Source organism: Homo sapiens, chromosome 6 (assembly GCF_000001405.40).
Source record: "Homo sapiens chromosome 6, GRCh38.p14 Primary Assembly".
Lineage (NCBI taxonomy): Eukaryota > Metazoa > Chordata > Mammalia > Primates > Hominidae > Homo > Homo sapiens.
This window is the reverse complement of record NC_000006.12, coordinates 7361706-7374173: the sequence shown is the minus strand read 5'-3', so window position 1 is coordinate 7374173 and position 12468 is coordinate 7361706. Positions and strand designations below refer to the sequence as shown.

Below are 12468 nucleotides of genomic sequence, written 5' to 3'. Positions count from 1 at the left end.
TTTCTACTCGTTCACACTTACTTTGTTTACTATAATTTACAGACTGCAGTTCCTTCAAAAGAAATACAGAATTATGGGGAGATTCCTGAGATGTCAGTCAGTTATGAAAAGGAAGTCACAGCAGAGGGTGTGGAGAGGCCAGAAATTGTCTCAACTTGGTCTTCGGCAGGCATTTCCTGGAGGAGTGAAGCATGTCGGGAGAACTGTGAGATGCCTGACTGGGAGCAAAGTGCTGAAAGCTTACAACCTGTTCAAGAGGACATGGCTTTAAATGAAGTCTTGCAGAAATTAAAACATACTAACAGAAAGCAGGAAGTGCGAATCCAAGAACTCCAGTGTAGTAACCTGTATTTAGAGAAGAGGGTTAAAGAACTACAGATGAAGATTACCAAACAGCAAGTGTTCATTGATGTCATCAATAAGCTAAAGGAGAATGTTGAAGAATTAATTGAAGACAAATACAAAATAATCCTAGAGAAGAATGATACTAAAAAGACATTGCAGAATTTGGAAGAGGTTTTAGCTAACACGCAAAAACATCTTCAGGAATCCAGGAATGACAAGGAAATGTTACAGCTTCAATTTAAGAAGATCAAGGCTAATTATGTGTGTTTACAGGAAAGGTACATGACTGAAATGCAACAAAAAAATAAATCTGTAAGTCAGTATTTAGAGATGGACAAAACCTTAAGCAAGAAAGAAGAAGAGGTAGAGAGACTACAACAACTCAAAAAAGAACTGGAAAAGGCCACAGCTTCTGCTTTGGACTTGTTGAAACGGGAAAAAGAGGCCCAAGAACAAGAGTTCTTGTCTTTACAGGAGGAATTCCAGAAACTTGAAAAGGAAAACCTGGAAGAAAGACAGAAACTGAAATCTAGACTTGAGAAATTGCTCACTCAAGTTAGAAATTTGCAATTTATGTCTGAAAATGAAAGAACGAAGAATATAAAACTTCAGCAGCAAATCAACGAAGTAAAAAATGAGAATGCAAAACTTAAACAGCAGGTTGCAAGGAGTGAAGAGCAAAATTATGTCCCTAAATTTGAGACAGCTCAGTTAAAGGATCAATTAGAGGAAGTCTTGAAGTCAGATATTACCAAGGTATTGATACACATTCTAAATCTCTAATGCGGAATTTCAAGAGTTTCTAGTGGTCTAGTGATGCGTATTTAGACGTGGCACTTATATTTGTTTGCAGAAAGAATTATTAAAGAAAGAAACAGATCTCGGCACTTTGGGAGGCTGAGGCAGGAGGATCTCTTGAGGCTAGGAGTTTGACACCAGCCTAGGCAACATAGTGAGACCCCATCTCTACAAAACATTTTTTAAAGCAGCCAATCTGTCATGCATGGTGGTGTGCGCCTATAGTCCTATCTATTCGGGAGGTTGAGATGGGGGAATTACTTGAGCTCAGGAGTTTGAAGCTGCAGTGAGCTATGATTGTGCCAGTGCACTCCAGCTTGGGTGACAGAGCAAGATTCTGTCTCAAAAAAAGAAAAAAAGAAAAAAGAAAAACAGATATGGAAAGGAAAATACACCACAGGTTTGGAGAAGTTTCTTTTGGTTCATGAATATTCAAAGAACAGCTATTCCTGCCTTCTTGTGGTTCTTTTGGTAGAGGTGGCCATTAACGTGGGAATTTTGTGGGTACTCATTGCCAGTCATCAAAAGCATCTTCCAGCAGTTACTTTTTTTTTTTTTTTTTGAGACAGTATTGCTCTGTCGCCCAGGCTGGAGTGCAGTGACACGATCTTGGCTCACTGCAACCTCTGCCTCCCAGGTTTAAGTGATTATCTTGCCTCAGCCTCCGGAGTAACTGGGATTACAGGCGTGCGCCACCATGCCCAGCTAATTTTGTATTTTTAGTAGAGATGGGGTTTCACCGTGTTGGCCAGGCTGGTCTCGAATTCATGACCTCAAGTGATCCACCTGCCTCAGCCTCCCAAAGTGCTGGAATTACAGGTGTGAGACACTGCGCCCAACCCCAGGGTTCCTTTGAGAAAAGATTTTCTAAGTTGTCTCTCAATCCTATTCAACAAAACAAAATAATATAATTGCATGTTTGGTTTACAAGGCAAAACAAACCTGTATCATATACTAGTTTTATACATTTAAGAACAGCATCAGAACCATAACAATATGTTTGGAGAAGCTGTAATCTTTTATTATATGTAGTTCAAAAGGCTTTTTTGGCAGCGAAGAACCTGGAAACACATTCTGGAAGTGATAATTTTCACAAGACAGAGCACATCTATTTCAGTTGTGTAGGCCTGCCTTAAAGTATGTATAGTAAAATCTTATTAAATGATTACTTAGAAAGAAGGCTAATATGAACTAGAAAAATGTGTAAGTTTATTTTTTGTATTTGTTTTATTTATTTATCTATTAAGACAGAGTCTCGCTCTGTCGCCCAGGCTGGAGTGCAGTGGTGTGATCTCCTCTCACTGCAACCTCTGCCTCCCGGGTTCAAGCAATTCTCCTGCCTCAGCCTCCCAAGTAGCTGGGATTATATAGGCACACACCACCATGCCCAGCTAATTTTTTTGTATTTTTAGTAGAGACAGTGTTTCACCATGTTGGCCAGCCTGGTCTTGAACTCCCAATCTCAGGTGATCCACCCTCCTCGGCCTCCCAAAGTGTTGGGATTACAAGCGTGAGCCACCGCACCTGGCTATGTTTATATTTGTTTTAATAACTTGAACTGAGCTGATGTTACCTTAAGATGTCCTTAGTGGACCCTCTTTTATGAATCTGTAATCATTTTAAGTATTCTTTACAAGTGAATGATTTTACTGTTTTTAAGGATTCTTAGGAAAATATTCTTTTCCTAAATTAAAAAAAAAATCTAAGATCTAAGAAAAAAGGATTATCTAAGCCAGTGGTTTTCAAACTTGAACATTCTTCAAAATTCCCTAAAACGCTTGTTAAAGCACAGATTGCTGGCCCTACCCTAGAGTTTCTGATTCAGTAATTCTGGGGTGGGGCCTGAGAACGTGCATTTCTAGCAAGATCCCAGTTGTTGATGCTGCTGCTCCTGGGACCACACTTTGAGAACCACGGACCTAAGCCACCTTAACTTGAGCTCCTAAGCAAATCATGATGAATTTTAAATTGGTAAGCTCTGAATGAATTAGTTTAATTGTACAGAAATTTAGCATAGTATATAATTTTCTTTAAGTTCCTTATTTTATTTTGATTAATCAATTTCTCTAACACTGAATTCATACTTACTCTGCTTATAGTTTTGCTTTTCATGAACTCTAGTTCTGTTTACTCCAAATATGGTCTGGGAGTATCTGTGAAGTCAAAAGTATTTTTATAGTAATATTAAGACATTATTGCCCTTTTTACTCTCATTTTTCACAAGTGTACAGTGGAGTTTTCCAGAAGCTACATGATGTGTGATGATGTAATTGCTCTCATGGCTGATGGAATGTGTGAAGCAAATATGAGAATCCAGCTATCTTCAATTAAGCCAGCATTAAAAATATTTGCAAAAAATGCAAAGCAGTGCCATTCTTTTCACAAATTTTTTGTTTCAAAAAATGTGGTAATTGTTTTTTTAAAAAATTGTTATTGGTTTGGCACAGTGGTTCACACTTGCAATCCCAGCACTTGGGAGGCTAAGGCAAGAACATTGCTTGAGCCCAGTAGTTCAAGACCAGCCTGGGCAACATGGTGAGACCCCCCATCTCTACAAAAAATTTGAAAAATTAGCCGAGTGTGGTGGCATGCACCTGTGGTTTCAGCTACTGGGGAGACTGAGGTGGGAGGATTGTGTGAGCCTAGGCATTTGAGGCTGCAGTGAGCCATGTTCACACTACTGCACTCCAGCCTGTGTGACAGTGAGACCCTGGCTCAAAAATAAATAAATAAATAAATTGTTATTTATGCTTCTACATAATGGAGTTATTGCTACTTTAAAAGAATTAGTAAACAAATATTTAAAAATATTCTCAGTTTTAATTTCTAAAGGGATCCTAAGATGAAAAAGTTTGAGAACTGTCGCCCAAGGTTTTTAAGAGTGCCATTTTATTCAGCATTTTACTTAAAAGATATTTCAGGTTCTTCATCATTATTTTGACAAATCTGAATTACGTGCATGTAGGATACAAAAACGACACATTCTAATCTGCTCCCGGATTGCTCACCTTGTGAAGAGAGGCTGAATCCTGCAGATATAAAAAGAGCTTCTCAGCTGGCCTCCAAAATGCACAGTCTTCTGGCTCTGATGGTGGGACTTCTCACATGCCAGGTAATAAAACATATATATTAGATATTTTAGTAGGGGAGGAATAAATACTGGGGTTGGACAAAAAGAGAGGCAATAAAAGGAATTAAGTTGTGGAAGAAGAAAATGAAGAATTGAAGATAAAATACAGACCCCTAAGCCATCCATCCAACCCTTCTTCGCCCCATGTCTTCTTTCTGCTTATCTTTCTTGAACACCTAATGCTCACAAGCGTAGAGATAGATAAGATGTAATAAGATAAAAAGAACCCTTTATTAAGTACTTCCCACGTTTCAGCGATGCCCTCCCAGATCAGTAGTCTTGTGCTCTGGTCAGTCTGCGCCTAGTGATTAATGACTGTTCACATTAATGAGCTGTTTGCCCAATCTAAAATACCACGTTTGGTTAGGAGTCGGGGAAGGGCAGTGTAGAGTTGTGTACATTAGTAGAATGAAAAGTGAAGTTGCTGTCAGATGAGTTCAGATGCTGGCTTATCATTTCCTAGCTGTGTAACTTGACCAAGTAACCTAACTTCCATTTCAGTTTCCTTATCTTTAAGATGGGGAAATGATGCTTCTGTCCTGGGAGCTTATAAGCACTGCATTTAATGAAAAAAACAATTAAGGGACATGCACGGCCAGGTGCGGTGGCTCACGCCTGTAATCCCAGCAATTTGGGAGGCCGAGGCGGGCAGATCACCTGAGGTCAGGAGTTCGAGACCAGCCTGGCCAACATAGTGAAACCCCATCTCTACTAAAAATACAAAAATTAGCTGGGCATGGTGGCGGGTGCCTATAATCCCATCTACTTGGGAGGCTGAGGCAGGAGAATAGCTTGAACCTGGGGGGAGAGGTTGCAGTGAGCAGAGATCGCGCCACTGCACTCCAGCCTAGGTGAAAGAGCAAAACTCTATCTCAAAAAAAAAAAAAAAATTAAAATAAAAAAAATGAAATCTTTCTGTACTAACCCTTTATTGGATGCCTTCTGATAAGTAATTGAGGAATGGAGTTCAATATGATTTTACCTCTTTTGATTGGCTTACTTATTGAAAGGAGATTTGTTTTTGTTTCATATGCATAGTTTTGGCCTCATTTTAGCTTTAGTAAAAACTTTTTCATCTAGCTTCTGAAACTCTTACCCTTAGGACATCATCAATTCTGATGCTGAACATTTCAAAGAGAGTGAGAAGGTTAGTGATATAATGCTGCAAAAACTGAAGAGCCTCCATCTTAAAAAGAAAACTTTAGATAAAGAGGTATTATATTTATTCTTCTTCTAAAAATTTTATTATTTTTAGTGAAAAAATAGTTAAAAGGTAGTGAAGAAGTAACTCTTAAAGTTGGAATCATTTTAAAAATTATTTTGGGGGACCAGATTAGTTTTACTGTGCCCCTCACTAAAGAGATAAAATGTTCAACATTTGACTTGTTTTATTGTTTGTCTGTATGGGAAAATCTCATTCACCTACAAAAAATTTAGTATGATAAATTTTTTCATTTTTGCACGGCACTACTGATTCCTGAAGGGTTGTTTATTTTGACTTTCCTATAGTGATTTCAAACTTCATCCTTTGGAATAACAGAAACATTGAAAATAATTTTATTTCTCAGGTGGCTGAAGGGTGAGGGCAGAGGTTCTTGGATTGTCTTTAGTTACTCTTTTCTTTAATTTTTTTTTTTTTTTTTTTTTTGAGACAGAGTCTTGCTCTGTTGCTCAGGCTGGAGTGCAGTGGCATGATCTTGGCTCACTGCAGCCTCCGCCTCCCAGGTTCAAGTGATTCTTCTGCCTCAGCCTCCCAAGTAGCTGGGATTACAGGCGTGTGCTGCCACGTCCAGCTAATTTTTTGTATTTTTAGTAGAGACGGGGCTTCACCATGTTGACCAGGCCGAATTTAATGAAATGCAGCCATTGAACTCCTGACCTCAGGTGATCCACCTGCCTTGGCCTCCTAAAGTGTTGGGATTACGGGCGTGAGCCACTGCACCCGGCCTCAAGTACTCTTTTCTAGGTGTGGTAGTATACAGATTGAAGGATAAAATGAAGAGAATTAAATAAGGAAGGTGATAACAGGATGTCAAATTGTACCATTTTGAATCTGAGAGGAATGCAGACATGAAAATTTTATCTGGCTAAAGGAATCAAAACGTATTCAAACCTGGAATCTTGGATCATAACAAATTCATTCTGTAACACTTATCTGAACTGACGTGTTGCGGGTATCCTGAAGAATCTCTCTGCCTCCTAGCCAGCCTGTAGAGGACAGGACCAAAGTATGAGCACAGTCATGCAGAGAAACGGCTGGCCTCTACTCCTCTAAACAGCTTTCAAAAATAAGCCCAACTGAGGTTGTTACAAAAATACAATTTCAGGCTGGGCACAGTTGCTCATGCCTGTAATCCCAGCATTTTGGGAGGCTGAGGGAGGCGGATGGCCTGAGCCCAGGAGTTTGAGACCAGCCTGGGAAACATGGGGAAACTCCGTCTCTACAAAAAATACAAAAATTAGCCAGGCGTGGTGGCACACACCTGTGTCCTAGCTATTCCGGAGGCTGAGGTGCGAGGATCACCTGAGCCCAGAAAGGTCGAAGCTGTGGTGAGGCAAGTCTCAAAACACTGTCTCAAAACAAACAAACAATAACAACAAAAAGCAAAAAAAAAAAAAAAATCCCCCAAATATTTCTTTCAGATATTTATGTTCTTTTGGTTAATTTTTTCTGTGTAATTACTGAAGTATTGACAGGTGATATGATGTCTGCAGTTTGATTCAGTGAAGGGGGATGGAGGGAAGAGGGCAGTGATTGAGGATATAATGACATTGACCATTAGCTGTTAATTATTGAAGCTGAATGATAGTTACGTGGTGTTCATTAAAGTTTTTTCTATTTTAAATATTGGAAAATGTTTGCAATAAAGAATAAAAAATATTTTGCACACCACACTTCACTAATCAGTTTGAATATTGGATATTAAGATTATTATTATACTGAAGGAATAAATAAGAAATGATTATAAATTACGCCCAGATTTGGCTAATTTTTTTCTTTAAGGAAAAATTTTAATAGCCTGACTGTAATAACAATCGTTATGTTAGGATAACTCCTTGGAGACCCCGAGACCACCCCCAGGTTTGATGATTAGCTGAAGGACTGTGAGTCGTCCTCACAGCTATGACTTACCACAGCAAAGGATACAATGCAAAATCAGCCGAGGGAAAGGCACAGGGGCATCGTCTAGAGAAAGCAAAACTCAGGCTTCCAAGAGTCCTCATGGAGTCACACAGGATGCATTTCGTTCCCCCAGCAATGAGTTGCAACCACAGGTGTGGAAGTGTCATCTACCAGCGAGGCTTCTTAGAGACCCAGTGCCCCAGGTTTTTATCAGGAGCTGTTCACATAAGCACCCTCTGCCTAGTGCGTACCAAAATTCCAGACCCCTGGAAGGAAAGTAGATGCCCATGCTTTGGGCAAGTAGGTTGAGCACCATAAGCCATTTACATCAGAGAATGGTGGAAAACTTTCTGCAGTCCAACTTTCCAAATGCCAGTCATGGGGCAGCCTTGCCAGCAGGCCTCTCTAAGCCTAGCAGTCTTGGACCTGCTGTGTGAATTCTTTTCCTCACAAGAGCTATAAAAACATATTTTTTGTATGTTTTTTGAAGACTGTTAGACTGCATGGTTTGATTTTTTTTTTTTTTTTTTTGAGACAGAGTCTTGCTCTGTCGCCCAGGCTGGAGTGCAATGGCGCCATCTCGGCTCACTGCAACCTCCGCCTCCCAGGTTCAAGCAATTCTCCTGCCTGAGTCTCCTGAGTGGCTGGGATTACAGGTGCCAGCCACCATGCCCGGATAATTTTGGTATTTTTAGGAGAGACAGGGTTTCACCATATTAATCAGGCTGGTCTTGAACTCCTGACCTGAGGTGATCCACCCGCCTCAGCATCCCAAAGTGCTGGGATTATAGGCATGAGCCACTACGCCCGGCCCGGTTTGATTATTTTATTATAAATATTAGAGCGTAGTTGTATTTTCTCTCTAAAATACAGAATGTTTTCCTTTTCTTAGCTACTGAAACATAAAGATAGAATCACAACCTTTAGAGAGTTAATTGCTAAGGAAAAAGCATTTCAAGATCATGCTATTAAGGTGAGCTTAATATTTACTACGTACTATCTTTAACATAAAAATATACAATTTCAGGTATTTATGTTCTTTTGGTAAATTTGTTGAAGTACTTCTAGTTCTAAGTTCTGCACTTTTATTATTCCAGCCACTGATAATCTCTTTGATTTTTAAACTAATAAAGTATTTATTGTCAGGTATTCCAAGGAGTATGAAATGATTGAAAGTGAGAACAAATATATTTAATCTCAGGTCATAGACTGTGATTCAGATGAAGCCAAGAGTATCAGAGATGTACCTACCCTTCTGGGAGCCAAACTGGATAAGTACCACAGTCTAAATGAGGAGCTTGATTTCTTGGTAAGAAAGACCTTTTTTTACCTTGCTATTATTTTTATACACAACATTATTTTACTAGCAAGTTTAAGAAGTTATCATCCTTCAAAAAACTGGCTTATAAAAAGGGTCACACACTGGCATCATGGCATTATTATTTACCCACAATAATATAGAATCGAAGTTTGCATTTTGGGGTTTTGAAATTTTAAATATTGTCCTACCTCGTTTCTGTTAAGATTAATCAGATTTGTTTCCTTCCAAATGCAGAAATTTTAAAAGTGCTGTTTTTTCACAGTAGATGAAGTACACTAATACTGTTGCATATGCTGCAGTAATAGCTGTGTACAACAGCCATGGTTAAGGTATGCTTCAGGCAATAACACTCATAATGTACTTTAGATGGTATTGTAAAGATAAAGGCAGATAAAATAGGAAAAATATGTTAGAAGAAAATGAAAATGTGATCTTAGAATCTAGATACTTATAGAGCAATTTAGGAATTCAGTTGGATCTCACTAAAATGAAAACGACTAATTAACATAATGAATTTTTATAGGAGTTAATTAGCTAAGTCTACCATCATATTTTTTAAATGATTAAAAAGCAGCATTCTATACTAAATTCATTACATACAATTCACTTTTAATAGAAAAGTGTCTAATAACGTGAAGGTTCAAAGCTTTCCTCTTTTGTAATTTTTTTTTCATAAGAAGTAATTATTGACCAGGCGCGGTGGCTCATGCCTGTAATCCAAGCACTTTGGGAGGCTGAGGCGGGTGGATCATGAGATCAGGAGTTCAAGACCACCCTGGCCAAGATGGTGAAACCCCGTCTCTACTAAAAATACAAAAAATTAGCCGGGCGCGGTGGCAGGCACCTGTAATCCCAGCTACTTGGGAGGCTGAGGCAGGAGAATCGCTTGAACTCAGAGGGCGGAGGTTGCAGTGAGCTGAGATCACGCTACTACACTCCAGCCTGAGTGACAGAGTAAGACTCTGTCTCAAAAACAAACAAACAAACAAAAAACCAGTAATTATTATTGACTTCCCAGAAAAGATTAAATAAGCTAATCACTAAGGAGCTAGAAAGCGAAACAAAACATAAACCCTGGTACTAAGGAATCTAGAAAAGAAGATAAGATACATAAATAACTGTTTATCAGAAGGAAAGGGAAAGTTTTTAGAGAAGAGGTACAATGGCTGGCATCTAACAGAGTGGATACTTGTCCGAGGACTGGAAGAGATTATTTCTAAGTGCAGGTTATGAAGGAGATGGCAGTTGGGTCTTAAAGACCAGTAAAATTTGGGCATAGGGAGCTAAGAGGACAGCACTCAATACATTCTGTTGTCCATTAGCAGTACCTATGCTTCAGGCCCTGGTGATACAAAGATGATGAGAGTAAACAGTAGTGTTCCCAGCAGTGGGAGCTGGAATGGGAACAAGGTCACAAATGGCAGAGTGTCAGACACACCTTTAAAATGCACTATAGGCTTTGATGTACAAACCCTATCTCAGAGTATCCAAATAATTGATGAGGGAGAGTTCTTTATTGAAGAATGTAAGCTATTAAAAGCTGAAGAAAAGATAAGTTTAGAAAATTATATTTTGCACTCCTGAATAAATTAAGGAATGTAAGCAGTTATCATAATGGCTGCTAAAACCTGTAGGTTCAAGATTAATAAGGAGTTTTTAATGAATGAGTCATATTGACCAATACTTGAACACACCGATAAATCTCAACCCCACTAACGGTGAGACAGGCAGACCCCTGCCCCTTGACATGGTGCAGAGGAAGCACACAACACCCTCCACAAGGCTTCTTACCAAAACTGCTGAATCCAAAAGCTAGCTTCTAGACCTAACTACCAGCAGACAGGAACTACAGTGGGTAAAGAAATGTACTTGATCACACCATAATGACAAATCCTGAATGTGGAGAACTCTAATAAATAAATAATTGGCATGAGAGAAGGGAAGGAGAGGGAATAACTGTTATAGACTAAGAGAGGCTAGAGACTTAGAGGACAAATCAGCCAGAGGCAGTGTATGAAACTCAACCAACCACTATAAAAAGACATTTGTGAGATAATAGAAAATTGAATTCAGCATATTAGATAATATTAAGAAATTTTATTGTTGATTTTAATAGATGTGATAGTGGTACCATTTTGTTTTTAAAAGCCCTTATCTGTTAGTATTACATTTGTTTGTTTGTTTTTAGAGACGGATCCTTGCTGTGTCGCCAGGCTGAAGTGCAGTGGCACGATCTTGGCTCACTGCAACCTCCGCCCCCAGGGTTCAAGCGATTCTCCTGCCTCAGCCTCCTAAGTAGCTGGGATTACAAGCACCCACCACCACACCCAGCTAATTTTTTGTATTTTTAGTAGAGACAGGGTTTTTCCATGTTGGCCAGGCTAGTCACGAACTCCTGAGCTCAGGCGATCCACCTGCCTCTCAAAGTCTCTGGGAAGTACTGGGATTACAGGTGTGAGCCACCATGCCCAGCCTGTTAGTATTACATTTTGAAAAGTATTTATGAGTGAATTAATATGATGGCAAGGTTTGCTTTAAAGTACTCCAGGAGAACAAAAAGGTGGCATAGTAGGTGTAGGGGCAGGGTTGGAGAAAGATAAAACAGTAATGGAAAATGTTGATAATTGTTGAAGTTATGGGATGGAAACATGGAGGTTCATTATGTTATTCTTTAGACTTGCATGAAAATTTTCAAGATAAAAAGGATTTTGTTTTTATTTTTTGGTAGTGCAGAATGTACTCCAGAAGATTCACACCTCATTCTCTAAGGAACTCTGGGCCAGCAAGGTGTGGCCGCTGGAGTGCAGGGTGATGCTCATGCTTCCCTTGGCACATCGTCGCGTGCTTCTCTCATGTCCTTCTGACCCCTTGCCGTTGGCTCCTCTTCACAGTTCTGACCCTGCCATCTGCTCCATTCACAGCCTGGCCTCCTCCATCCTGAGACAGGGTCCTTGACTTCAGCTTTGCCTTCCTGCTGGCTCAAGCATCCTGGGTGTTTAACTGTCAAGTGCAAAATGTCTCCTGGTCCAGGAAGACACTGATACAGTCAGGGATTTGACCACTGGGAACAAGGCAAAAGTCCACTTAATGGTACTGATGTTCAGAGTTCAAAGAGGCTCATAGTAAGTTCCTCCTAGATCCCATCTTCAGTAAAATAGATAACTTTTAATACAAATAAGATATCTCTAACCAGTATTATGGAGTAGTTAAAATTTAAAAATCAAAATCTGTCCTAAAACATACCACTTCAATATGGCAATCATATATTACGTAAAACATTTACCTAACTTATTATTTTGGTAGCCTTTAAAATTAACAGCTTGTTAAATTGTAAAGAAGTCACAAGAATAAGAAAGGAACAGGCAAAGTAGAAAATTACTGCTTTAGGAAAAATTTTCCAAGTGAGCCAAAAGAAAACAATCAAAGCCCAGTATCTTGTGGTCCACTTGAATGACCAAAGGGACCCACCTGTATCTGGATTTGGCACGGTGTTACCTTGAGTATACTTTATAGTTTGCCGGCCTCTCTGCCACTGACCAGCCTCCTAAGGAAGAGACTAGGATCATCACTAAAACTTGGGTCACACAGGTGGGAGGGCTGTCCAGCCAGATGGAATCTTACATTCTTAGTTTACATAGATGTCAACCTTACCAGCTGTTTTCTTGTTCTCTCAAGCATCCTGGCATTTTACAGTAGTCCTTCTGATACTCTGACTCTATCCCTCACCTTCCTAGTTCTGATTTTCCTAAT

At 39.4% G+C, this 12468-nt stretch overlaps 1 protein-coding gene across 3 annotated transcripts in view, besides 1 other annotated feature; it reads left to right on the top strand.

Annotated features, from left to right (window-relative positions):
• Nucleotides 1-12468, top strand: part of CAGE1 (cancer antigen 1) — a 63084-nt gene that overhangs the window by 15569 nt on the left and 35047 nt on the right. For 2 of the 3 annotated variants that reach the window (NM_001170692.2, NM_001170693.2), the window contains exons 5-9: nt 43-1101; nt 4109-4255; nt 5376-5486; nt 8290-8370; nt 8599-8706. In NM_001170692.2, the coding sequence (NP_001164163.1) occupies nt 43-1101; nt 4109-4255; nt 5376-5486; nt 8290-8370; nt 8599-8706 (1506 nt within the window). The remainder of the gene's footprint in view (nt 1-42; nt 1102-4108; nt 4256-5375; nt 5487-8289; nt 8371-8598; nt 8707-12468) is intronic. The other variant, NM_205864.3, reaches the window with a different exon arrangement.
• Nucleotides 112-312: a silencer, noted in NCBI's record as "peak5644 fragment used in MPRA reporter construct". NCBI's record gives its function as "represses an SCP1 promoter by STARR-seq MPRAs in K562 erythroleukemia cells {active_cell/tissue: K562}" and the evidence as "EXISTENCE:reporter gene assay evidence [ECO:0000049][PMID:32103011]".